Consider the following 27,442-nt stretch of genomic DNA (forward strand, 5'->3'; position numbering starts at 1 on the left):
TGTCACCTCCCAAGAGGATGGGGACTACCCATGATGCTATGCCCAGGAGGTCGGGGACCACTCAGGATGCCACCTCCTGAGAGGACGGAGACCACCCAGGATGACACCACCTGGGAGGATGGAGACCACCCAGGATGCTACCGCCTAGGAGGACGGGGGACACCCAGGATGCTACTGTCCAGGGAGATGGGTTTCTATCAGAATTTACCGCCCAGGAAGATTGGAACCACACAGGATTGCTACCACCTGGGAGGATGGGGGCTACTGAGGATGCTGCTGCCTAGGGAGAGGGTTTCTACCCAGAATCTGCCACCCAAAAAGATGAGGTCACCCAGGATGCTATGCCCAGGAGGACGGGGATCAGGAGGCTGCTACTGCCCAGGAGGATGGTATAATATACAGTAATATAATACGGTAATATAGAATATCATGTAATGTAATATGACATGATATATGAAATGATGTAGTATAGCATAATATGTATAGTATAGATATAATGTGCAATAGTATATACTATAATATGTATAACGTATATAAAATGTTGATATAATCCTAGGGTTGGCAAACTGCAGCCTGCCAGCCAAATCTGGCATTTTTGCATGTCCCAGGAGGTAAGAATGCATTTTACATTTTTTAAATGGTTGAAAAAAAAATCCAAAAAAGAATACTTCCTGACCTGTTAAAATGACAGGAAATTCAAACTTCAGTGTCCATCCATACTTCGGAACACATCCTCACTCATTCTTTCATGTACTGCCTGTGGTTGCTTTAGAGCCACTACTGTAAAGTCAGGTGGTCAGTATAGGGACTGCAGGAGCCACAGAGCAAATATTTATTCTTTTTTTTTTTTTTGGAGACAAAGTCTCGCTCTGTCACCAAGGCTGGAGTGCAGTGGTGTGATCTCGGCTCACTGCACCCACCACCTCCTGGGCTCAAGCAATTCTACTGCCTCAGCCTCCCGAGTAGCTGGGATTACAGGCGCCCGCCACCAGGCCTGGCCAATTTTTGTATTTTTAGTGGAGATGAGATTTCACCACGTTGGCTAGGCAGGTCTCGAATTCCTGACCTCAAGTGATCCACCTGCCTCAGCCTCCCAAAGTGCTGGGATTACAGGCATGAACCACCGTGCCCAGCCCTAAAATATTTATTCTCTGGCCCCTTACAGAAAAAAGTTTGCTGACCCTCTATTTGATCAATATATTAATATACCAATAATATAAATTAATCTGTGATATTAATATAGCAGATGATAATTTGACACTAATGTAAAGGATGCACAAATATGTTACTACTAACACAATATGTTATACATAATATATATCCTAACAATATTAATATATAATAATACATTACACATAGTATTTAGGTTGAATGATAGAAAATTGCCATTTTTATAGGCCTTCGACAGTTGAAAAATTGATAATTTCCTAGTATTTAAGCGAATGCATGGCTCAGTAGCAACTGCTGAGCGAATGTCAGGGAATACCATTACCACTCCTCCTCTCCATATCTACTTTCATACTAGTTCCACAATTTTAGAAACAGTACTGCCTTGAGTTCACCTGGTATTCTCTATTATGCACTTCACTAGTTTGTTAACACAAGTAGATGTAGGACCTTGATTTATCTACTCTGTTTTTTGCACATGTGGAAATTTTACCAGAAATTGTAAAGCTTTGTCTCTAAAACTCACTTTGTTACGACTGTACATTATTTTGTTAGGATTATGGATTTACAGTTTCACCAACTGGCTTTAGGGCTGTCCTGTGGTTCACTGGCTCTCTCTGCATTTTTCTTACCTACAGGCCGCCCTTGGGAACTACGGAGGATTTGTGTATTAGGCAGGGTTCCCTATATCTGTAGATCAGAGTTTCTCAACTGTTGACACTGTTGACATTTTGGGCCAGATCATGATTTGCTGGGGTGGAGGGGGCTGTCTCGTTCATCGTAGGATGTGTGGCAGCATCTCTGCTTTACCCATTAGGTGTTAGTAGCATCGCCCGCCCCTCTTGTGACAACTCAGAATGTCTCCAGACATTGCCAGATATCCTGCGGGTGGGGTGACGGAAGCAAAGTCACCCCAGCTGAGAACCACCACTGCAGATGTAGAAGGGCACCCTGGAGAAGTTCAGGTTCCTTAGAATTATTCATTAAATGACCAGGCTAGGACTCTCCTCTTTATATCAGCAAATCCACAGACAGCAACAAACAGTAGAAACATGAATTCATTGTTTTAAAATGTGAAGTTCTCAGATCAACACACAAAATAACTCTTAAGCTCAGATGGCATGTGGCCTGTGTCCTTTTGAGTTCAGGCTGATAGAGAAAGTCGACAGAGCCAAAAGCTTGCTCTGAAAGGAAAGCTACCAAGGTGGATTAATCTGTTTTTGGAAGGCAGCGGCAGTTGATCAACTTCCTCATATTTCAAGCCTATTATTCCAGCAGGGAGAGCTAGTGTGTTTTCTCTCTCTCTCGCTCGCTCTCTCGTCTCTTCCACACCCCATCCTCCCTCCCTCTAATGGCCTTTTATTGCTCTAACACATTTTTAAAAATGAACTCCTCTGTACCTTTGGGGTGAATGTGATGAGGGGATACACTCCTCATCAGAGGTAATTAAAGTTTATAGAAACAGCCCAAGTCTGTAGCAGATCCCTTCACTAATGAGGAAACCAGGAGTCTGACTTTCAAACAAACACTCCTGTTAATCTTTTCAAAGCCAGGCAGACATGTGGGCAGGGAAAACGTTGTAAACGGACAGTGGTTCTGAGGCTGCCCTTCCTTGGCCACACTCTAGTCATTCTCGAGCCAGGCCACACCTCATTCCACAGGGTTCATCCCTGCCCGCTCTTTGGGGCCATCTGTGAGCAAGCCCTGTGTCACTTGTTTTTGCTGACATGGAGAGCTGTGACATGTTTGAGAGTTAACAGGAAGCTTTACTCCATTTTTCCATTTAGATTTATAGAGTCTACGGAGAAGCTGGGACAGGAGGAAAAGCATTAGGCAAATACAGTCAGTTTGTTGTCATCTGATGCAATACTCTGGACACAAATAAATGACTCTGCCCATTATTCCTCTTGCTTCATTTGCCCTGAGACAAAAAGGTGAATCCACTGGAAAATGAACGAAAGGTCACCCTGTTTTACAGCAATGTCTGGACATGCTCTGCCAGTAGGTTCCAACTACTACATGGTAATGTGGTGATGGTACCAAGTTACTGGAATCCAGAGTGAGTCCGTGATTTGTCATGGACATAAGTACTGGAATGATGTTATGGTCTCAGCTGTTGGGGGAAAATAGTTCTTTCACTTGTGAGGAGAACATCCAAAAGAAAGAGCTGCAATGCTGCCTGTGATCCTTCTTCTATGTACACATGAGCAACGTCATACTACAAAAGACCATCCATTTGGTCAAACTATCTTTTTTACACACATTTTGATAATACAATATCTTAGGCCTTCTAGATATGCTCAGATTCAAATGCTATATTCAAATGTTGGTTTTCATCTTTGTGTCTTGTCTCAGATCCCTTATTCAAACCCATCAGTCTGCGCAGTTCACCCATCCAGCTGTAGCTCTTCTGTCCTTTTGGCTGGCCTGGTGTCCCCTGATTCAGCAGAAGTGTGGGGGGAGTTGGGATCCCCTGATATTCACAGAGAGTTTTTAAGAGTAGGAAATCTGGGGCTTAGGAGGTCCAGGTATTTTGGTTGGAAGTGTTTTCCCATTGATGGGGCTAAATATTTGCCATGACAGCTCAAGTCTTCGCTCTCCAGCTTGACATGGATGAAAGCAGCCTCGCTACAGGGCCCCTCCTACTGCCCCCAGAGGATTAAACAACCTGAGCAGGTAATGGCTGCCTTAAAAGGAGCTTTTGCATGACTCAGATTAATGCATGCTGTCTGTCGCCCAGGTTGGCAGCTAAACATTAATTTTTTTTGAAAAAGAAAAAAAAAAGTAAACCTCTAGATGACAACTCTTTTCAGACAAGGTGTGGAGTCTGTCTGCAAAGGATAGAGAGAGAGAGACAGACAGAGTCCAAGTCCCCAGCGCAGAAGGAAGCCCAGGTGGGGCTGGGGCCGGGAAGAGGGGCAGAGCACAAAGCTGTCGGGCTGGATTAAAAGGCAAAGCAGCCACAGAGCAGTGTCAGGTTCTCAAAGCTGTCGGCCAGGCAGCCACTTTCCTTTTATGTATTCCACCCCCCTCCTGCCTCCAGGTTTATGACAACACTTTTCAGGCCTGTGCTCCAGGCTTGATTTCTCAGAGGGAGTTCTGCCAAATTGAAGAGCAGTCTCCCATACTGTTCTATGCCACTGTGAAAGCTCATCTGGAATTCTGTCCTCCCTCCAAAAAGAAAAGAATCATTCTTGGGTTCTGAAATGAGGCATGGTTTTTATCTACTTCACACTCCCATGCCATAAAATGTTCTCTCTTACTCCTTGGGTGATTGAAGTCCAGGATATTCACAAATGTAACTGTGATATGGGACTTTGGAGTGCACATGTTACTCATTCCTTTTATTTAAAAAGTCACCCTACCATCTGAACACCAGTCAGCTGGAGGAGTTGGCCCCTAGGGTTCTTGGACTATAAGGTGCTGATCTTGGGTGATGACCAAGTCAAAAGACTTATGTAATAAATTCCAAAGGATAGACCCATAGCAGGAACATTTGAAGGAGAACAGGCATTATTTCAGGTGAAGACCGTAGCCGGTGTGCAGAGGGGTGCCCTGAGAACAATCAGTAAAAGCTGACAAGTGCCTTTGTTCTTGAGGGATAAGCTTCTAGAAACCACAAGCTAAACAAGATGCCAAGATACCTGTGCTACTCTCAATGCCTTGGAGCAGAATGTACCATGAAAATATTGGCATTAATGGCCAAAAGTAATGTGAAAACCAAGCACTTAAGTTGGTTTTCCTATTTTACTGTACCACCCAAGAACACTGGAAGGCAGTGGTTCTCACCTGGGGACAGTTTTGCCCCTTGGGAAATTTGGCAATGTCTGGAAACATTTTTTATTGTCCTAACTGGGGTGAGGGGGATGCTATTGGCATCTAGAGGCCAAGGATGCTGCTAAATATTCTCCGATGCTCAGGACAGACCCCCCCCAACAAAGAATTATTTGGCCCCAAATGTCAATAGTACTGCCGTTGTGAAGCTCTTAGAAGGCATTCTGTGAAGCTCTGAACAGCAGCTAAGGCATCTGGTGAAACCTGAAGTAATCACAACTGTCTGGAAAACACAACATTACACAACATTTAAAATGGCAGACATGACTCCACTGCCCCTGTGCCTGCCCCCTAATCTGCTATAATTTGATCCCAAGAGCTGAAAAGCAAGACCCGCCCCGTTCCCCCAACACACATGCGAGTGTGTTTGCAGGCATCATAACACTGAAGTTCTCTGAAGTATTTTCACAGTTTGGTGCAGCTCCAATTTCAAAGCCCCAAACACTAAGTTTCTTCTTTTGCCTTCAACAAAGGAATTTTTCTCTGTAACTCTGATTTCCCTGCCCACGAGCAAAGGTGAGTGCCAAGCCCAAAGGGCTCATAGGTTAAATGACTAATACTTAATGAGCTCATATTAACAACAATTATGCTAACCATGACACCTGAGTTTTTCACGCTGTTCCTCTGGCCTCTGTATGAACAGCGCTTAGTTGGAATGTCTAATTTGGGGTATACAGTCGGTTCTCTATATCCGTGGGTTCTGCACCTGTTTAACCAACTGTAGATCAAAAATATTATTAAAAAAAAGGATGGTTGTGTCTGTATTAGACATATACAGACTTTTCTTCTTGTCATTCCCTAAACAATGCAGTATAACAAGTATTTACATAGCATTTACATTTTATTAGGTATTACGAGTAATCTAGGGATGATTTAAATACATGGGAGGATATATATGTTATATATAAATATACCATTTTATATGAGGGACTTGAGCATCCATGGGTTTTGGTATCCATGGGGGGTCCTGGAACCAGTCCTCCATGGATACCAAGGGGCGGCTGTATTTATTTCCCATTCCACATGTACTCCCGTGTGCTGTCCATGTGATCTGTGAAAATTTACCACCACCGCATGGACCAGTCCCATTAGTCCAGAATTCATTTGGAATAATGAGTCCTAAAAGTTGAAAACTTTGGCTTTTTATATTGTTCTTAACCCTTCAGTCACCATCCTTTCTTGCCAAATGTGAACAACTTTAGATGTCTAAGGAACCTACTTCTCCAAGCCACTTCTGCCTTCACATCCACAATCTCTGCCTCTTATGTATCCAAGAAAATCAGTGCATGGGCATGGGACTCAGAGTAGAGATAGGTCACCTTTAAACCATGTTTTACTCAATAATGTTCTGCCAACTCCTTCATGCACCTCTAGTCTCCTGGACCTTCCACCCCAGCTCAGCTGCAAAGAATGTGTTTTCAAGTGGCTTACTTGAGAGTCGACTGGAAAGTTCTGCAGAGAGGGTTGTCATGCCGCTGGCACGTCCAGGTGAAATGGGCGTTGCTGGGTGCACAGAAGGAGAGGCAATGGATCCCAGGTATTGGTAGGACTGATCGTAGGACCACGGTGGGGATGGTTGGATCTGCCTTGTATCTGAAGAGAATCAGAAAGGTCAATTATATGTAAAGTGGGGTGGGATTTAAAAAATGTCTTTTAATAAGAAATGAGTGGCCCTTGTTCAAATATGTCACATACATGTATGTGGCCTATGTACCAGGGTTTAATAAGCCTACTCAAGTCCAAGTATCTGCCTCTGTTGGATTATTTTCCCCCAAAAGAGACTGATTCTTGGAGATTTTCACCTGATAACTATTCCTTCCAAAGGTTTTATTTAATCATGCTAACAATGATGAGAGGAATGGATTACACTTTCAAGGTAGAAGTATTAATGTCCAGACTGTTGAACTGCAGCACTTGAGAACTTCAAGTATCATATGACTGCTGACATGATTTCAGCTTTGCCAATAATTACAATTATCATCATCAGAAACATTTTATAAACTCAGGGGATCACCTGTCTGTGTTCGGTAAGAACGTAGAGTTTTGGGCTTTTTTTTTATACCTTTACCTTTGGCAAAAAGTATTCCATGGGCTGGTAAATGTTTTATAGTAAGGCGAATTCTCTCCCAAGGATGACAGGAAAGAAGGTCTGGCTGGGAAACCGGCAATGAGGTCTAATGACTAGTTCACAAACCCAGCAGTAGAACTGGCCCTATCAACCCAAGCCTTCTGTTCCTTTTCAGGACTTCGAGTTTGCAACTTTTAAAAGTCAGAGTTTTTAGCAGGTATTTTATAGATTGCCATTATAAGAGGCCTGGGATAGAGAAGAGACAAAAGTCTGACTTCAAAAGATTTAGACAAAGTGGATTTTGTCAATTTGACTCCAGCGTTCAAAGGAGTCTTAATTTTCAAAAGCATCATACTGTTTGCAGATGAAAAGGGGAGGAAAACCAACGCTATTCTTAGGCAAATGTGTAAGGAAACTTAAATTGGACACTGTCCCACTAGAAGACAGTTTTACATTTCTTTGGAGTTAAACATTAATTTTCTCTTTATGTCCCAACTTTGTGGACAAAGATAACAGTGAACTACCGTAACTCCCAAGGGTCTTCATAGCCAGAGCTTCATGATCCTGCAGGTAGCAGTGTAGGAAGAGCAGACTTCTTTAGGAAAATACTGGGTATAAGTTTTGTATAGGTCAGGACATAAAGAAATGAGCTATTTCTGCTCATTATAAAATATTCAGATCTGCTTCCTCCAGGGGCTTTTCATTTCCAGCAGTTCAAGTTTGCCTTTCTGTTTATCTCTTTGAAGCTGCCACAGTGGATAACAGAATCAGACATTTGGAGACCCAAGTCTTCCTCCCCAGTATTCTCCTGACAGCCTCCCTCCCTCCCTCATACTGATTCATTTCTTTCTTTTTTGTGTGTGAGTGAAAATAACTGATTTTTTAAGTTTAAAAAACCTGGTAGTTCCCAGGCAAATAGTTTAACTTGGAATCTTTGAAATCTAATATTAAAGAAAGGTCTTCATTTTATTCCAAATTTTAGAGGATTTAAAGAGCTGGCAAGGAACAAAAGGAGCTGGTCCATTTTAAACTCAGCAGAAAATAAATGTTCAACCTTGGCTGAAGCTCCTGTGTAATCTTACAGCTAACAGTGTTTCCAATGACTAAAGGCAAACAGAAATAGCAGACGGTTCAATATCCCCATGCTACTGCAAGTATTTTGCTCCAAGTGAAAAAAAAATCATATACTTAGATATTTTGTATAAGACATGCGTATATACTAGATACACACATTTACTAAGTGAATATATAGTACTCCAATACTTTAATCATTTTAAAAGCAAACAAAAGAGGTTTCAGAACTGTCATAAAGCCCCCCGGGGTGTGAACTGCAGTACAGTAATTCACGCCTTGTTGTGTAGACAGCCTCACACCTCTAACCCCATGTCTAAAGCCACACTAAGCATAAAGTACTATGCCATGATTCATGCTCCGTCATGTTTTACTGTAGTGAAAAAGTCGTGCTAGGCTTTTCTAAACTCATAATTAAACCATGCAAACGTTGCATAATATTTCACAGCCTTTAAAAAATATGCTTTGGTAAAATGATCTTTATGATTAAAGTCCAAGTTCTATGAGTTTTTTTGTTTTTTAAAGACAGGCTTGCAGATTCCACATTTTCTGACTTCACACCATAACTTAGCTTTTCAGGTGCTGGAGGGGAAGATGGCAGTCAACACCCTGAAGCCCACCCAACCCCCACATCAGTTTTCTTTCATGAGACCACAGTGACCTGTGCTTGGGTTCATTGCCAGTGGTGGGCCAGAAGGTGGGGATGGTGAGCCTCTAATGTTGGGGTTTTAGTTGTTTCCTCTTCTACCTGTGTTACTAATAGAAAACAAAAACAAAAAAGGCCTGATAATATGGTGCATTCTGGGTTTAATATTCATTACTGTCTTTGGTCTGACAGGGCCAACATGAACTCATGGGCCACCCGAGCACTGGACTAATAGGCAGGAGAGGTGAACTCTTGGTCTTTCTGTCTGGTGAGCAACTGGGTGACATTGGATTACTCACTGACACTTTCTTATTCTCACCTCCGAAGGAGGTGATCCCTAAATCCTTTCCAATGGTGACAGAGCAGGATTCTAATTCCAATAGGTCCTACACAGTATTTCTTTGCTTTACTTGTACATTAAGCAGAGTCAGGGAAGAATCAGATGTGGGGTGAAGAGTGGTGCCTGTAATAATAAATTTGTGTATTCTAGGAAGAGGAAGTAGAGGAGAGTACGATGGGAGTTATCCAGAAAAGGCCCCAGGCTGAGGAAGAGAACCACTGTAAATCATTCTCCAGAGCACAGGGCTACTTGTTCTTGAAAGAGTTGCCTCTGATAAGTCAATCCATCTAAAAGAACAAAAGCTTATTGAACATTTACAGTGTGCCAGGAATGTGCTAATTTACCTGGCAGGAGAGTGATGAATAAGACCAACATGGTCCCTGCCCCACAGGCACTTACAGTCAGTGAAGATCCCAGGATCTTGTGATGCTTGGAAAGGCATCTTCCTGTGGCATTAATCATCATACTGGGTGTTGCTTCATTCATTTATTCATTCATGTGTTCATGAAATTACTTTTTCATTCACTCATATTTCCAACAAACATTTTTGCTTCACTTGGGCCACTGTTTTGGGGACTCACTAGTGAATGGAAGGTTCCTGCCTTCTGGAAGTTACAGCTACTAGGGTGCCCAAGGGCTGTATCTGGGCTAACTGCTAGATTAGCTGCCTAATTTGGACTTGCAAACAGCTGTTCCCAAGGTAGAAACAAGAACCCTAGTGGTATCTATTACATGCTTATGTTCTGCCTCTGAGAGGAGGAGACTAGGGAAAGCACCGAACTCAAATCACAGACAAATTTCAGTTTGCATCCTGCCTTCACCATAAACCAACTGGATGACCTTAGGCAGGTCACTTATTTTCTCTGATTCATAGTTAGAATTCTGACTTCAAAGGGTAATAGGAGTAAGTGAGATAAACTATATGGAAAGCAAGTATCACAATTTCTGGCCATAGTAAATGCTCAATAAGTCTGAATAACCTTTATGATTGTATTACTAAAAAGGAAAAGAAATCCATGCCAAGGGACTTATCTGATGTTCATTGGTGAGACCACACACATTTGCTCCAGGATAAGGCTCAAGTAATAGTGTTTTGTTCACAGCTACAGTCTTGACAGACACACTCTTCAGGCTGGAGAGGAGCTGGGCTCAGGAGATTAAATGGTAAAGGGGCAAATTTCCAAAGATTGGAAATTTGGGATTAGGATGGAGAAGGCAGGAACTCAGTATCTCAACCAACTCATGTTTCTATTAAAAAATACTGGATTCAGGGCCGGGCGCAGTGGCTCATACCTGTAATCCCAGCACTTTGGGAGGCCGAGGCGGGTGGATCATGAGGTTAGGAGATCGAGACCATCCTCGCTAACACGGTGAAACCCTGTCTCTACTAAAAATACAAAAAATTAGCCGGGCATGGTGGCGGGCGCCTGTAGTCCCAGCTACTCGGGAGGCTGAGGCAGGAGAATGGCATGAACCCAGGAGGTGGAGCTTGCAGTGAGCCAAGATCGTGCCACTGCACTCCAGCCTAGGTGACAGAGCCAGACTCCGTCTCAGAAAAAAAAAAATAATAATAAATAAAAAACACTGGATTCAAAAATTTAAATTTGAGCCTTTATGCATACTGGTTTTCCAGGCTAAATGATGTCTGATGCAGCCACTTTACTGAGGCCATTTTGTGATGGGTTATTTTCAGCTTTTTAATCATCAATAATGGGTAAAACAGGCCTTCTACTCCTTGATCCCCATTCCCTTCCATTTGAAATGGGAAGTTAGGGATAAGGTAGAGTTGAGGTTAGTGGTGAGCTCAGAGGTGTACACGGCATATATCACACAAGAAGAAAGGAGAATGCTTTTATCTTTTGATGCAGCAATATTAAAATGTCTCTAGAGTCAACAATGACCCTTTTAAATAATTCATGTCAGAATGTCCTGTTGCTTCTAGTTTCAGTTCCAAAATTTAAAGAGCTTGAGAGTCATCACTCTTGTTTTTATAAGAAAAAATGCTGAACAAACTGAAAATCCATGACTTTTCTTAAGTCCAATGGAAAGCTGAAGTTGCAGGGCAAACTGCAACCCCAAATTTTGAGAAGCAGGCAAATATAGAGAATCATAGTGAGGTCTGCTTGCTGGGAGCAGAATTTCTGAATTCATAAACTGATGAGAACACTTAATGGTGATTTTGACAGATTGCTAGAGGCTCAGTACAGACTAGTGTGCGAATAAGACACTCCTAGGGGCTACAGTTTCAGGAGGAAGTGCACTGTTGTGGGTTTTTCATTCAGGAACTCCACCAGATTCTCACAGGATCCAATATATTATTATAACAGTGGGTTATGGCTGAAAGAGCTTCAACATACTGACTAAGGAGGAGTTCATAGAGAAGCTCACAGATGACATGGGAGACAAAAACAAGGACGCTAGAGGAATTTGAAGTCTCTGGTACCTTCTGAAAACATTAAATACAGCCCAACTCTTGGGTACATGAGAATAATAACTCACGCTAAAGGCCTACTAAGTTCCTATTGCCTGATAAATCATGTTAAACTTTCAATAAAAAATTACAAGAAAGGCAAGAAAAAAACACAGTCTGAAGAGATAAAGCAAGCATCAGAACCAGACCCAGATGTGACACAGATTTTGGAATTACAAGACAGGGAATTTAACAATGATTAACATGTTAATGGCTCTAGTGGAAAAAGAAGACAAGGTGCAAGAAGAGATGGATGATGTAGGCAGGGAGATGGAAACTTTTTTTTTTTTTTTTTTGAGACAGTGTCTCGCTCTGTCGCCCACACTGGAGTGCAGTGGCGCAATCTTGGCTTACTGCAACCTCCGCCTCCTGGGTTCAAGTGATTCTCCTCCTCAGCCTCCCGAGTAGCTGGGATTACAGGCACCTGCCACCACGCCCAGCTATTTTTTCTTTTTTTTTGTAATTTTTGGTAGAGACAGGGTTTCACCATGTTGGCTAGGTTGGTCTCGAACTCCTGACCCCAGGTGATCCACCCACTTCGGCCTTCCAAAGTGCTGGGATTACAGGCATGAGCCACCGTGCCCAGCCTGAAACTCTTAACACTCAAAAGCAAATTCTAAAAACCAAAAGCACCCTAACAGAAATGAGGAATGGCTTACTTAGTAGACAGAACATGACAAAGCAAAGAACCAATGAACTTGAAGATACAGAAACTTACCAAACAAAAAGATAAAGAGGAAAAAGAAAGAACATCCAAGAACTGTGAGAAAGTTTCAAAAGATGTAATGTGTAATTGGAATACCAGATGGAGAAGAAAAAGAAAACAGTGGAAGAAATACTTGAAGTATTAATGGCTATGAATTTTCCAAAATTAATGACAGATACCAAACCACAGATCCAGAAAGCTCAGAGAACACCAAGCATAATAAATACCAAATCTACACCCAGGCATATCATATTTAAACTGCAAAAAACCAAAGAGAAGAGAAAATCTTGAAAGAAGCTAGAGAGGGGGAAAAGCCAACACCTTATCCATAGAGGAAAAAGGATAAGAATTACATTATCTTTCTCTTCAGAAACCATGCAAACACAAAGAAAGGAGAATACATGAAGTGTTGCAACAAAAAAGCTACCAAACTATTATTCTGCATTCAGCAAAATTATCCTTCAAATTCAAAGAAATAAGGATATTTTCTGACAAACAAAACTGGAATAATTCATTGCCAGCTGACCTGCCCTATGAGAAATGTCAAAAAGAACTGCATAAAAAAGGAAGAGCATTAGAAAAGTACTATATTAAGGTAAAATTAAGTTTTATTTTTCTTAACTGATCTGAAAGATAACTGTTTACAATAATAGTAACAAAGTATTGAGTGATTATAGCATGTGGATAAATGAAATAAAAGGCAGTAATGATATAAACAGGAAGGAAGAAGTGGTAGTTATTTGATGCTAGATGTAGATTAGTTATACATGTACTTTTCAAACTTTAGGGCAGTAACTAAAAACATTTTTAAAAAGAATGATTAATATGCTAACAGAGGAGATAAAATGGAATCATATAAAATGTTCAGTTAAACCTATAAAAGGTAGAAAAAGAGGTGTGGGGGGAAGAATCAGGTGCAACAAATATAAAAGTTATAAATATGATTGATACTACTGCAGTTATATTAATACTTAGGTTAAATATGAATACTCTAAATGCACCAATTTAAAGACAGAGATTGGCAGTGTGGATTAAAGACAAGACCCAACTACATATTGTCTACAAGGGACCTATTTTAAATAAAAATATTTATACAGATTACAAGTAAAGGGATGGAAAAAGGTACACCATGCTAACACTGATTGAAAGAAAGCCAGAGCAGCGATGTTAATTTTATACAAAGCTGACTTCAGAGGAAGGACAATTTTCAGGGATAAAGAAGGGAATTACATGATGATAATGTGGGTGAATTCTCTAAGAAGACAGCATCTTTAATATATGTCCACCTAAAAACTGAGTGTCAAAAAACATGAGGCAAAAACTGATAGAACTACACGGAGAAATAGGTAAATACGCTATTACAATTGGAGACTTCAACAACCCTCTTTCAGTAATTGATACATCAAGCAGGCAGAAAATTAAGACACAGTTGACCTAAACGGCACTACCAGTCAACTTGATCTAATTAACATTTATGGAATACTCTAACAACAGCAGAATACACATTCTTCAGCTCACATGGAAGATTCACCAAGATAAGCCATATTCTGGGCCACAAAACACACTTTAAGATCCTTAAAAGTATAGAAAGCATACAAAGTATTTTCTCAGACCACATGGATTTAAATTAAAAAGCCAATAATAGATAACTGGAAAATCTCCAAATATTTGGAGATTAAACAACATACTTCTACATTAGACATGAGTCAAATAAAAAGTCTCAAGAGAAATTAAAAAATGTTTTGAACTAAATGAAAATACAACTTATTACAATTTTTGGATGCAGATAGAACAGTACTTAGAGGGAAATTTATAGCATTGAATACATATATTAGAAAAGAAAGATCCAGAATCAGTCACTGAAGCTTCCACCTCAGGAGACTGGAGAAAATAGCAATACAGACCTCAAGCAAGCAGAAGAGAAGAAATAATAAAAATTAGACTAGGAACCAGTGAAATTAAGTACAGGAAAATAATAGACAAAATCAATAGAACAAAATATCTTGTTCTTTGAAAAGTTCAAAACATCCCTCTTTGTCCTCGTGCTCCCCACAGGCGCTGGGAGAAGATGGATAGAGACCCCTCCCGGCCCTCCTCTGACTGTCCACTCTAGGGTCTTTTAAACACCCACCCTCAGAAGCTGGGTTTCCAACAGCACCCCTTGAGCGGTGGCACCCTTCATCCTGGGCTTGGAGAAGGTTATAGTTAGAAAGCCCCTTCCTTGATTGTGTGGCTGACATCTTTAAAACGCCAGGTCTTTCAGTCATCTCTCAGAGCTATTTAAAAATAAAAGTCACATAGACCACAGGGTTCTACCATCTATTTTTGAAAAAGGCAAATCAGCTTGGTGAACATATAAACCCTAGGGGCAGCCCTGGTTATTTCCCTGGAGGAATTTTTTCCCTCCTTCATCCTGGAGGAAGGTAGGGACGTTCCCAGGGTTCCCTCCAGATTCACCTCAGTCATGGGGAGCTGGTGTAATGCCCTCTTGGAGACCTCAGAACACACAACAGGATGTGACTCAGGACTCAGAGATGTGAGTCAGTTTCCAGGGTGATGTGTTAGGGCGAGCCCCAGTGGTGGTTTGCATCTCACTGTCTGGGACCCCTGGGAAGAAAGGCCTAGGCTCCCCTTGCAGACAAAGGGGGTGACCCCAGATGCTTCCCAGCATCACATCTGTCAGAGGTGTGTGATGTCAGGGGCCTTTCAGAGTCCCTGGGGGTGGGTGACTCTGCTCTGAAAGGGACATTTCCCTGAAAGTTCCACTGTCTTTGAGAAGCAGTGTTTCCTCTGGCCTCTGCAGCAGGGAGCAAAGCTCCGGCACAGCACAAGTAAGAAGAGCAGTCACCTATTCCTACTACAGGTACCCCCAGGTAGCAGACACCGGCTCAGCACACTGTTGCTATATCATTGAAATCCCATGATAACATGAGTCAGTCAGCACCAGCTCTGGATCCTGGAAAAAAGGGAGGTTGTGAAACAGCTCCAGGATTTGCCAACCGTTCGTCTCTGGCCGGCTGCAGACATCTTGGTTAGTCATGTGTAGCTCAGATGCATTCGTTGTTCCAGCAATTACTTTGAAGAGAAGCAGACAGACCAAGCCGGGGCAGAACCCTGCCTGGGTATGCTGTTTTAAAGGCCTCAGGTTTTGAGGGATCCCATCCTCACTGCCGACCTGCCAGCCTGGGAGGTGGCAGGCTGCCTGCGGGAAGGAAGAAGGGAGCCCTGTGTCCGCCTCTCCACCACTCCCTGCTTCCGGGACCCGTATTCATCACCTCGCCGGGGAAGCTTTGTGGCTTTGTGGTCAGGGCCCTGTGAATCAAGAATGCTGGTTCCTCACATCAGGCCGCCCCCAACCCTGCTGGTTCACCCTGGAGTCCTTTTCTTTTCAAACCTCTGTTTCCTCACCTCTAAAAATGGGGGTAACCAGGCTCACTTGCCTCACAGGTGTGAGAGTTAATTAATGTTTGTGGGGCAGCTTTGAGATCCACAGATGAAAGGTGCTCTATAAACGCAAAATGCAATTCCTCATTAGCACTGTCAGACGGTTCCCAGGGGAAACAGTTCACCCTGCACCACGAGGCTGCTACCCTCAGCCAGATGAGTCTGAGACACGTCTGGGAAAGGGCTACGTATTTAGGCAGAGTGCTTTTGGAGGGAGGGTTCAAGGATAGGTCACTAGCTTCCAGAAAAGATGGGTGTTTTTAGAACATGTCTCATTCTCAGTTGGCATCGTGTCCCTGAGGCAGAGGGAGAGTGGCCTTCAGTGCACACAGCTGGAGGGACCATAGTTCAGAGGGAACAGAAGGCACCTTCTGGTTTCTGCTGCCTCCTCCCTTGCAGACAGATTCTTTCTCTGTACTTTGTTAAATAAACATTTGTTGCAGACATCTTTTCCATAAGGATCTTCTGCACTGTGCACTTTCTGCACCTCTGCCCCCCGTATACAACTTTCCAGGCCTGAAGGAGCTCTACAGACAGGTTGGGTACATTCCTGCAACACCAGCACATCATGGATGTTTAGATTCTTCTATGGCCACCCTATTTATTTCCTTCCACTCCTCCATGTCCTTCTTCTCCAGGAGGGTAAAGACAACTTTCTGCTCCCTTCTACTCCTCTGGCACCTTTGCCCCGCTTAGTTCCTTGAAAAACATGAGCCAGAAATATTGTGTTGAGGGCTGGGATATCTCAAGCAGCCTCCATCCTGAGACTGGACCCTTGGTGGAGAATGAGGATACTCACTCCAGTAAAACAAATCACTGACACCTCAAGTGGGAGCTGGGAAGCTTCAAGCAGAAGAGGCACAGCATCTCCCAGGACTGCACACAGCTAAAGAAACAGAATTTTCTGAAGAACACTCCATTGAGGTGGCACCTGATATCAAGAGGATTGTGCACGCTTGATAGTCTATGCTTGGAAGGCCTGGGTTGGGAGACTGTCATCTCCAACCTGCAGTCCAGGCTGGGCATGGAAGGCCGTGCTTTACAGCCAATCTCCACTGTGCTGATGAGGGGCCGGTGGGATTTCCTAGAGAGGCACCTGTGATATCTCTGGCTAAACAGATACAGTTAAGAGCTGTCGCTGGGGCAGATCATGTTAAGTAACATGGCTGAGATTTGCCAGGGTCCATGTAATGCCTTAGGGTGTCAGCACGCAAGAAAAAAAAAGAAGTGACTTTACGTCTGGGACTGCAGAGGCTACAAAATGATGAACCCCCTAACCTATGAGTTGTCGATATTGGAGAATACGATGCTTTTGAGCCCAGCTCAGATGGAGATCTGTTCCACACAGGTGTGTGTCATGCCAGTTTGCAGCCTGGGCTTCCTCTGGTGACTACCCCATCCATCTCTGCCACTGCCCCAGCTCTCTGTGCCCAAGTGCTGTCCCTGAGCCAGACCTCTGGTGGGAGAGGCCGAGGGGGCATGGAGCAGTGATCTCAAAAGCCTTCCTCTCTACACAAACCCAACCACGGGTTTCTCAGTGGGCATTCTCCTAGCTGCAGCCTTAGTTTTTACTTTGGCACTTTTTTGATGTTGTAAAATGTTAGAACTGTTTGAAAAATTCTAGAGTGGCTTGAAGCCCAGCAAGCAGTCTCTGTTGTCTTCTGCTTCCATATGACATGGGCCCTAAGGCAGGCTTATTGGATTTTATGCCAGGGATTCTGGTTTTAAGCAGCAAACTCTGAGGCATGGCATTCTAATAAAATCAGAAGAAAAACTCATATGAATGGGGGAAAAGGAGAATTCAAAACAATAAACATGAAATATGGCTTAACATAAAGATGCTTTTGTTTGTTCTGGCCCCAAACATTTTCAGGATTTGGGAACCTCATCCCAGAGCTGTCTCTCTAAAAGCCAAAAGGGCTTCAGTAAGGATACAATAAGGGCATAGTTCTGCAGTCTGAGAGGTAAGGACAGAGACCCTAGCTTGGCCCCTCACTCACAGTGTGCTGAAGCAAGTAACTTAATGCCTTGGAGACTCAGTTTCCCCCCATAAGGAGATGTTATTGCATCTGTCCCTTAGATTCCTGGGAGGGTGAAATGTGCCCCTCTGCCCGATATTGTCAATGCAGTAGCTGGCACCTTGAAGGCAGGAAACAGTCTTCTCTCCCCTGCCCTTCCAGGAAAGGATAACAGTGTCTGGAGAGTACTGTTGGCTTAGCTGGTTGTTGCTCCAGGTAACAGAAGAGGGAGAGGCTTGGTCTCACAAAGCCACCAGAAATGAGACCTTCCTTAGGCAGCCAGAGTTCCAAGGTGCACTATTCCAGCGGGGTAGCATGCACCGCTAGGATGCAACATAAGCCCTTCCTCCTGCAGAGCAGCAGCCTCCTCCTTCACAAGGAGCACCATAGCCACCCTGCAGAACACAGCTGCGTCAGGGCCTCACAGCAGTGTTGCACCGTGCCAGCCACAACACAGATTCTGAAAGCTGCATTTTACAAATCGAGGATTCACTGCTCTTTGTCTTGTGAAGTGTGACCCACAATGAATGGCAACCGTTCTTTCTTTAAGAGCTTCCATTCCATGCTCCCAATTTGAAGGATATCCTGACAAAGGGAAGTAGAATTCCCCAAGTGGAAGTGCCTCGTCCCCTTCAATAAACGCGAGTGAAATCAAAGGGCTGCTTCTGTGCTCTCTTCCTCTGTTTTTCTCATGCAGTCCTCCCATCTGACTACCTTGTCACAGCTCTTCTTTTCCTACCTGCATCCTCTTCACCTTGTTTTCCTTTCCCACACATCAGGCCAAGGCTTCTAGAATTCCTTGCAGCAAGAGCTGGAGGACAGAACCTCAGGGAACTGCCCTGTGGGAATGCTTCATGTCGTCTTCTACACGCCCTCTGACCTGGCCGCTGCACACAGGTCTTTCACTCTATGTGATTCCCTGGCTGCCCCTTCACCTCCAAGAGCTCTGAACGGCTTTACAACTAGGAAGTCTCTGAATGTGCAGAACAATGAGTTTCTCTTTCAGCAGGGCCTTGCCACCCCAGTTGTTTTTATTCCCCCCTCTGATATGCTAGAGATAATGATAGATCCAGGAAGTATATTTTCTTCACACTAGGAGGGGCCTTGCCCCACAACTGGAGACATGCCATTCCTGTCTTTACTGTCTGTTCTGATGGGAGCTCCTGAGAGATGGCAGGACAGGCAGCCTTCATTCCTAAACACAGTGTCCTGCAGACCCACCCGCTCCAGCTTATTTTTCACAGACATATTTCTGGAGGAGTAGTGTTTATTATACCTCTGAAACTCAAGGCTTCTCCATGCACAGAAATAGCCTCCAAGAAACAGCCCTCTATACCCCCGAGAAATGCCCCCAAGAAACCTCCATGCCCCTGAGAAATAGCTCTCTTGCACCTCTCTATTTTTTGAAATTTCTTAAATATTTGCCACCAAGCAACAGAGTGAATAAGAGGCTAAAATGTTCCCTCATTTGGTGACAAGTTCCTATGCAAGTTTTGAATTATTTGGAATAATTGGATTTCTTTGGCTTGTGAGCCAAGGGGAATCACTATCACTTTCTTCTATGGTATCAGAAAACTCCCTCTTTCTTCTAAGTTCCCCTGCTGCAGTCTTCTCCCCCACCTTCATGTGAGAGCTACACAAGGGGAATTTGTTCACTTAAGTTTGCAGCCATTTTGCACACCCCAAAGAGTTGACCTTGATGTGAACTAATTGGGATTGCAGTGGGTTAATAACACAGGTTGGTGAGGTGGAATTTGCAGCATAAAGGAAACACTTGAAGATAAGAGCCATTTGTGCTTTCATAAGCTCATCCCTGGTGCTCTGAACAAAGGACACAAACTAATAAAGTCAGATTCATCTAGGGGCAATCTACACTCGCTCACCCCAAACTCTGATTCAGAAAGGCAAATGGAAATCTGCCAGAATTCTTTTAAACTCCAACACAGATCTCGATTTAAAAAATGACACACACAAAACCGCTTGGTAATAAGCAGACCTCTGATGATCTACAGATCCACAGCTTCGTTTATTGACTTAGAGAAAGTAAATGGCATTTCAAATACAACCTTCATACTTCAATAGATGAGGTCACCCTGAGAAAGATGATACTCAGCCCAGCAGTGGGAAACCTCCCTCCAGAGAACTGCTTTGATTTACAAGGCCAAGGAAGGCTTTCTCATAGAAGCCATATACTTGGGCTAAAATGGAGTAATTTTTTTTAAAAAAATTAAATGTAGAGGTTGAGATAGCAGACAACTATGAAACTCTTGCTCAACAAGAGGGATGACCTATGGAAGACAGGAATGCTAGGACCTACAGAACTGAAGGGTCAAAATTGACTTACTACCAAGTTTAGATAGCTAAGTAACTCACATTTTTTTCAGGCATTGAGATCCTGTGTATATTGACTAGAAGATCCTTGTGAATTTCCCAATTACTCTTAAATAGCGATCATCAAACGGGTGATTTCTCCTCCAGGGGATTTCTGGCAATGTCTGGAGACATTTTTGGTTGCCACAACTGAGGAAGGGGGAGTGCTACTGTCATCTAGTACGTGGAGGCCAGGAATGCTGCTCAACATCCTACAATGCACAGGATGGCCCCTACAACAGAGAATGATCCTGCCCACAAGATCAAGCGTGCCCTAAAGTGTCAAAGAAAACCTTGCTCAGGGAAAGCACACACTGCCACAATGGTTTCAGCTACCATGATGACAAGACGGAAGATGTGACTTCTAGAGGTGCTCTTCAGGATCGGGGAAAGCTAACACAGCATTGTCCCCTGGGCACAGTACAAATGAACTGAGGGGTATGAGGAGATGAGGTGTGTGGTGAGCACTTTCTGGAGCCCTTGTGAGAATCCTGGGTGGCTGCAGTCATGATGCACCCAGGGGGAAACTCCATCCCCATGTAAGGTTTAAGGCGACTGCTCTCTCAGTCTCATGGCCTGGCACCCAGACTTAGAGCTGGCATGTTGAGCCCTGGGTGAGCTGCAGGTGTGAACTACCAACAAGACTGCTCCTGAGCTGACCGTCGGCTTTGCCATCTGGGAGGGTACAGGCTAGCACTTGCCTCTCCTGGGCTTCCTGGGCATGAGTCACATGTAACTAGATAATGACGCAAATCACCGTCAACATTACTTAAGGTTTCATTCTAATGTCTTATGGAATGATAGAGCAGAAAGCAACCTCCGAGACAGCAGAGACAACCATGCCAGCCCCATCTCAGAGAAAGCTGCAGTGCGGAATGGTGAAGGGACTCCCCCTATTCTCCACAGCAGATAGCAACAGAGCAGGGACAGACCTTCTGGCTCTTTGTAGACTACTGCTTTAACTACATGATAGTTAGAAACTATAACCCTCCCATCAATCTAGTTACCATGTACTGACAGAACAAAAAGACCTAGCTAAACCTCAAAAAAAAAGAAGTCACTGGAAAGCACATTGTCCAGATGGTTCTGGTGGGGAACACCTTTGCCTGCTTATAGCTCTGTGAGATCCTGAGCTTGGTGAGATGGACTGGGAAGTCCTAACTTCATTTATGTCTTCTCTCCACCCTGAAACGATGCCAAAATGACCCCAAATCTCAAATAAAAGTTGGTGTCTGTTGCTGTAAATGTACAAATAACCCAAAGTCAAAATTAGGGATGGAAGTTACCATTCCTTTTGCCTTCTGTGTTTTGAGGTGGTCGTGGGGAGGAGGAAGGCTTTCAGGGACAAGCAGACGGCGACAGGGATCACACTGTCACCTGTGTGCGCCTTTTCTTCTAATGGCCTTAAACTGCCAAGTGGCTGCAACTGCAGCGTGCTGATTTTAAATGCTTTTATGGAAAGCACCATCCCCTTTTCGACTAGCATCACTTAAAATAATGAGTTAGATGCACTTGTATTATTCTGTCTTTCAAGTGGATTAAATTCACAGGCTCGCTCTCCTCCAGTCTCGCAAGCTTTGGCCTGGCTGTCTGAACCTCCAGATTAGACTGATGAGCACATGCCAGACAGCAATGAAATGCAATTACCCAGGCAAACTTTTGAAGGATTTGAGCCCTGGGGCACAGGCTGTTTACGAAAGACTAAAAGCACCGTTTGTGCTGAGCAGGACCAGTTGCCTCCGTCTTTTCCAGTTCTGGATCCTGCCTGCCACTGGACTGCAGGCAGGATTTCTGGGGGCCTGATAACATCAGGCTTCTGTCCACACCTCAGCACCTCGGGGTCTTTGCTCTGTTTTTCAACAAGAAAATGCAAGTACCAACAAAAGCCTATTATAACATCTCCCTTTGTGTTCACTGACTGACTCTCTCTCTCTCATTGACTTATTTTTTTGTATTGTGTACTACCCCGAAAAAATGCAGCCAGGAATCATCCTATAGCTGACTGGCTGTGTAACTTCTTTGGAAATGAACAACCTTTCCAAAAAACAGGAACTTCCCGTCTTCTTTGAAAAAAAAAATTAAAAAGCAAACCAGTCTCAACAGCACCTCTGAATTACCTTCCCCTTGATTTGAACAAAAGAGGTTTCAGAGGAACAGAGGTGGAGGGAAGAGAAAACAAAGAATGGGCAAAGGGAAGGTTGACAAGGAGAGTGACCATGGTCTCCCCTCTGCTGACCCAGACTTTTTTTTGTTTGTGTGTTTTAGACAACTGTGGGTGACACAGAGGTGTTGGAATGGTTCTTCATCCATTCAGCTGAAAATTAAAATGTAATTCTGCTAGGAGAATGCTGGGGAGGGGAGGGACTGGGGAAGGTTCCTTGGCTTTTGTAGTTGCTGTGGAGGAAGCACCAAGTGAAGCCAGCAGGATGGCAGCACTGAAACGCTCCAGGGCTGGGGTTGGGGGTCCTGAAGCCCCCGCCATAGGGCACAGGGTGGGTGTGGGAAAGAAGCTTCCATGAGGAGTGGGAAAATACGAGGGATAGCAAGAAAAAGAGTAAACTTGGAAGGATGGGTTTCAGAAGTGCTGGAACCAAGAACAATCTAGAATGCTTTTAGAGAAGGAGGCCACACAGGGGCACATCTGCACACCAAGGAAGGAGGAAGAACGCCACTGCCAGGAGCTAGCAGTGAGTAGGGGTTGGGATCCAAGGAAGTGGTAGGTAAATCATGCACTCTTACTCTGGGGCCGAGATGTCTTACAAAATGTGGAAAGCAGGGTCAGGATTCAGAAGGCAGCCTCCGATGAGGCTGAGCAGTCTTTAGAGGAAGGAAGATGAAAAGAAAGAAGCTGGGATGAGAGAGTTTGGCCTCAGAGAGGGAATGGGAAAGGGCAGGGGGGCTCACTAGCTTAGTTAGCAGAAGGCTGTGAAAGTGATGAGGGCCAGAAAGCCAAGAAGCATGGAGACTTCCTAGGCTCCTCCTCATCACAAACAAGAAGGGAAATGGCCCAAGAAAGGGCAGGTGGTGCCAGCCAGGCTCTCCCCCCAGGTTCCCAGCTGGGATCTGGGAAAGGAGAAGGAAAGAATGGAGAAAGGAAACAGCCAAAGGGCCCCAGCAGAGAGTTGGTGCTATGTAAGGAAAGAAATTGTTTAGGGCAGGATATTCTGAAATTAACTTAAAACCTAAAACAAACAGTTTTGACTTGCTGTCCCAGGAGCAAGGAAAAATCCTTCCTCAACGACTCATGCACCCCTTTCTCTGCAGCTCTGGGCTAGGTTCGTGGGGGTCCTGGGAAGGAGAGAGCGTTCCTGCCCACCTGGAAGTCTCCTTCCAACTTGTTGATCTCAGAACCCTGATGTGCTCTGGGGAGAAGAGTGTGTAGCGGGTGGGGGCACGCTCAGGGTTGCCTGCCTGGATGGCATCTCGGTGGTGGTGGTTGAGTTTTTACTGTCTTACAGCACAGATGGTGGAAAATCATAGCCATGACAGTTGGTGAAGCGTCACTCAAACATGCAGCCTATCTGGTAACAGCAGAAGGCAATGTGTGGGGAAATGCCAAAGTGACAGAGACCAACAGATCAGTCAGGAGTCGGGAAGGGAGTCAGTCTGGGCCTCAGTGAGGACAAAGATGTTCTGGAGGAGATGGGGCAGGTGAGGTGCCCTGAAGAATGGCAGGATTCGGGGATGTGGTGGGGAGGAGAGGAAGGAACTTTCTGGGTAGGCATCCAGCATGGACCAAAGCTTGTGGGCAGGACTGGTCATGGGTGTTCAGAGATCAAGCAGGAAGATCTGCAGCATTCACCCACCTCAGTGTCCAGCCTCCCTCCTGTTCGTTGGCTTGACTTTTTGGTCATTTCAGAGCAAGAATGAGCTTCGGAAGAATGGAGCACCTTGTGGCCCAGAACAAGGCAGGGAGGCATGGCTAGAGAAGGAGACAGGAAACTGGTGGTTCCATGGTCTCCATAGGTATCAGGCCTCCCTGGCATCAGCTGACCTGAAATAGCAACACCTGCTTCTTCGGCCACTTTCCTCCAAAGGTGACATATTCAGACAGGTTCTACCAGGAGTGCAGGGCTAAGGGAACCTATGCAGTGCAGTCCCTGGACTCTCTGAAGGCCAAAGTATCAACAGTGAGCACATTGGGTCTTCACACGTCACTCAAGGTCACATAGAGGGGATTCAAACTCAGGCTGGAGTGTAGCCAGAAGTCCAGGTTGCCTATGCTCATTGCTATTCACCGTCTGTCACTCTGCTGCCTCTGAAAAGTTGTCCTTTTGTTTCTCTGGGATTGTCAACTGATGTACATACAGAGATACAAGGGTGGCTGAGCTACAAATGATTTATACTACAAGAAACAGACTGGCGCAACCTCATCTCTGGTAAGTCCTCAGTCTCAAATGAAATAAACAGCATATGGATTTTCCCTGTTGTGTCGCTGAGGCCAAATTAGGAGTCAGCAATGGGGCTTAGTGCTTAAATAAGTTGTGTATGGATGAGAAGGATAGGGCTGCCCATTCCTTGTTTGAGTGACTGCTGGCACCTAAATGCCTCCCGGCTCAGGTAAGAGCCTACCTGATCACAAACAGAGCTGGGAGATTTGTCGAGTTACTCAAGCCCCCAAGACATGGCCACTACATGTGTGAGATTTTCTTAGCTCTTCTACACAGGCTCCTTACTGTTGGCTCTCGCAGTAAAGAGTGGTTTTTGATAACTCTGGGAAGCTCTTTTCCTGACTCCTACACTATGGGCCTCCACGTCGTGTGGTCCTGCAATAGAAAGTCATTTCAGGGTGGCTTTGACTAAGTAATGATCCTTCAGAGCGATCATCACCCTTGAGGGGTGCCAGCCTGTACCCAGAAGGACTCCTGCCCGGGGCCGCCTCATGTCAGGGCCTCTTGAGAACTGGATTTGCAAAGTGTCTGCAGACGTAAGTCCTGGTGGCCTGCTCTGTCTGCTCTGATCACAGGGGACAGGAAGGCTGAACCAGGACAGAACAGTTTGCGGTTTCATCAATGAATAATATGGAGCTGGGGACAAAGTCCCCTCTACTTTCTGCGGCTGTCACTGAAATGTCAGCAGTGGAGGGAAAACCAGAAGAGAAAACCTCTCACTGACAGGCGCCCTCAGTGTGCAAAGAGCTCAAGTTTCAGTGCTGGGGTGGGGTGGGGGCTGCGCCCCTGCCTATTCACCCCACTCCTCCCCTGGGCTGCTCCACTCCCATGATGACTGGGAATTTATCCTACAACAGGCCACGAGCTCCTTGTTCTGCAGTAGGAAATTATCCTTCATAAGAGGGCAACTGTTAGTATTGTTTGTTTGTTTTTTAATTTCCAAAAGTAAGGAGAAGTTTATTAAATAAGAGCGGGGGAAGGGAGGAGGGAGAAGGAGAGGGAAAGGGCCCGAGAGGCAGCTGACCCCAGCATTTCCCGTCTCCCCTTGGCTTCTCCCATCCCCCTTGTCCCAGACCCCCCTCCTTCTGGTTCTGAATGTGAAAAATAAGCAGCCTGCACCTCCTCGACTGGAGATGTGTCTAACAAGGCCCTCATTGTCTCAGACAGGTGTGAGATTGGACTTGATTCGGGGCCAACACCTCCAGTACCGGAGCCAGCTCTGTGAGCCGAAAACATGCACCAGCCCTCCAGTAATACCACTGCAGCCAGCCAGAGACTCAACAATTTAAGGCTTAACACACACAACATAAATCAGAGGAGGATGGACCAGCCGACCGGCAGCTTCTTGGGCAGATGCCTGCAGACTGTCTGCAGATCATACCCTGCCTGTTTGGGTTATTTGAGACTCTTTTTCTGTAATATAAAGATGAGAAACTGGGTGGAGCAGCGTGCAGAGGCACACGGGTGTTTGTCCTGTCTTGTTCCAACAGCCCCTCTTTCGCCTAAGTGCTGTTTTGAAGGGACTGCTCAGGACGGTTCACATTGCTACATCCAAATCCTAGGAATGTGTCCAAGCTGGGGAGGAGGGGAAAGGAAAGCTGAGCGCTCTGATATGGGTGGTATCTGTGTGACCCTGGGCAAGTCTCTTAACCTCTCTGGGCTCATCCATCTAACAAGGGGTCTAGTTTTCTGCGATTCACTCATCTCTAATGCTCAGAAGTTCAAAGTCACTGTAAGAAGTGCCCAAGTCAGAGGAGGTCATTACACTTGGGAGGAAACTCACAGCACCATTGAATGCTGTTTCTGAGTGGATCCATGTCTTTGAGCAAGAAAAGTCTCTCCTCCTCATACCTGTTCTTTAGAAACTTGTGGTTCTCAGACTGCTGAGGCAAGCCCAGAGCTCGAGCCCCCGGGAGTGTGGTCATGACATGGCAAGAGCCACACGCTATGGGAGGGGAAGATGGAGATGACAGGTCTGCACTGCTAGTTACTGCCATGCTCCAGTCCCTCTTCCTAATCAATTCTTAGATAAGTTTCATTGAGGAGGGAGGATTACCAAGTCACCAAGTCTTAGTGAAGGGAGGGGGCCCAGAAGCCACCCGTCAATGCGGGAGCCCCCACTCTGGTGCCTCTGAAAGAAGGGCATTTGGTCTCTGCAAATTCCTGTGACATTCCAGGGTAGCTTTTGGCCCTGCCATTCGTCACCCTGACCCTGAATTCATGGACAAGGACGTGGCCGTCACAGGGATGCCTTCATCTGGTCCCAGCTCTCTCCCTCTCATAGCCGTGTACTCTGTTGGGAGCAATTGGCATGAAGTTTGGCAGTGGCATCCTGAACCGGGATGACAGGACCATCAGTCAGCACCAGCCTCCCGCCCCTCCTGGCCTCGGCCTGCCAAAGCCTCGTATTCCCACAGCTGTGGCTCCAGCCTCTGCCCTGTCACACTCGCACACCTGTTTGCCATCCTGCTTCTGGCCCGCCAGCCCAAGCCACAGCCCCCAAGCAGGCTTAAAGGGCCGGGCTTGTGGGAGGAATCGGCACAGGATGGTATTTACTCAAAATCACACAGGACGGTGAAACTTGGTTAAAAGAAATCCTTTTGTAGCTGCTTCATTAAAAACACCAAAGAGGCTGACCATTCACATTTGTTGAATGCATCCAATTCATGCAAGTAATGGGACAGGTCAGGGTTCACCCTTGCCTGCTACCCACGTGGGCTTTGTGCTCAGGAAGTGACCTGTCGGTCTCCTGTAGCTGGTTGTCCCCAACAGGGAGCAGGGCTGGGGTGCCGGCTGGGGCTGCGGAGGGTGGGCATGGCTTTGAGGAGGATATCCCTTCCTTGCTGGGTGGGGCTGAGTAGAATGGGCGTGGCTTTGAGGAGGATTTCCCTTCCTTGCTGAGTGGGGCTGAGGAGGG

At 45.0% G+C, this 27,442-nt stretch overlaps 1 protein-coding gene across 15 annotated transcripts in view, besides 8 other annotated features; it reads right to left on the minus strand.

Annotated features, from left to right (window-relative positions):
* Positions 1–27,442, minus strand: part of RUNX1 (RUNX family transcription factor 1) — a 261,502-nt gene that overhangs the window by 5,068 nt on the left and 228,992 nt on the right. For all 15 annotated transcript variants that reach the window (XM_011529768.3, XM_011529767.3, XM_005261069.5 and 12 more), the window contains one exon: positions 6,433–6,594. In XM_011529768.3, the coding sequence (XP_011528070.1) occupies positions 6,433–6,594 (162 nt within the window). The remainder of the gene's footprint in view (positions 1–6,432; positions 6,595–27,442) is intronic.
* Positions 14,402–15,601: an enhancer, noted in NCBI's record as "MED14-independent group 3 enhancer chr21:36179567-36180766 (GRCh37/hg19 assembly coordinates)". NCBI's record gives its function as "activates an origin of replication core promoter dependent on BRD2, BRD4, P300/CBP and CDK7 cofactors, and independent of MED14, by STARR-seq in HCT116 cells {active_cell/tissue: HCT116}" and the evidence as "EXISTENCE:reporter gene assay evidence [ECO:0000049][PMID:35650434]".
* Positions 14,402–15,987: a biological region, named in NCBI's record as "RUNX1 element RE2".
* Positions 15,115–15,184: an enhancer, noted in NCBI's record as "active region_18401". NCBI's record gives its function as "activates an Ori minimal core promoter by ATAC-STARR-seq in GM12878 lymphoblastoid cells {active_cell/tissue: GM12878}" and the evidence as "EXISTENCE:reporter gene assay evidence [ECO:0000049][PMID:35858748]".
* Positions 15,463–15,973: an enhancer, noted in NCBI's record as "510 bp RUNX1 intron 5.2 fragment used in the pGL3-pro-L1A2G and pGL3-pro-L1G2A reporter constructs". NCBI's record gives its function as "activates an SV40 promoter by reporter assays in K562 cells {active_cell/tissue: K562}" and the evidence as "EXISTENCE:reporter gene assay evidence [ECO:0000049][PMID:26374622]".
* Positions 15,488–15,987: an enhancer, noted in NCBI's record as "H3K4me1 hESC enhancer chr21:36180653-36181152 (GRCh37/hg19 assembly coordinates)". NCBI's record gives its function as "activates a minimal SCP1, AML or CMV promoter by ChIP-STARR-seq in naive H9 embryonic stem cells {active_cell/tissue: H9 hESC(naive)}" and the evidence as "EXISTENCE:reporter gene assay evidence [ECO:0000049][PMID:30033119]".
* Positions 15,801–15,869: an enhancer, noted in NCBI's record as "69 bp RUNX1 intron 5.2 fragment (20bp+rs2249650(A/G)-rs2268276(G/A)+20bp) used in the pGL3-pro-S1A2G, pGL3-pro-S1G2A, pGL3-pro-S1A2A and pGL3-pro-S1G2G reporter constructs". NCBI's record gives its function as "activates an SV40 promoter by reporter assays in K562 cells {active_cell/tissue: K562}" and the evidence as "EXISTENCE:reporter gene assay evidence [ECO:0000049][PMID:26374622]".
* Positions 15,801–15,869: a protein binding site, noted in NCBI's record as "69 bp EMSA probe (20bp+rs2249650(A/G)-rs2268276(G/A)+20bp)". NCBI's record gives its function as "binds PU.1 in K562 nuclear extract {active_cell/tissue: K562}" and the evidence as "EXISTENCE:protein binding evidence [ECO:0000024][PMID:26374622]".
* Position 15,821: a transcriptional cis regulatory region, noted in NCBI's record as "rs2249650 polymorphism that affects RUNX1 intron 5.2 activity in reporter assays". NCBI's record gives its function as "contributes to RUNX1 intron 5.2 enhancer activity most effectively when present as A vs. G in reporter assays in K562 cells {active_cell/tissue: K562}" and the evidence as "EXISTENCE:reporter gene assay evidence [ECO:0000049][PMID:26374622]".

This window comes from Homo sapiens, chromosome 21 (genome assembly GCF_000001405.40).
Source record: "Homo sapiens chromosome 21, GRCh38.p14 Primary Assembly".
Taxonomy (NCBI): Eukaryota; Metazoa; Chordata; class Mammalia; order Primates; family Hominidae; genus Homo; species Homo sapiens.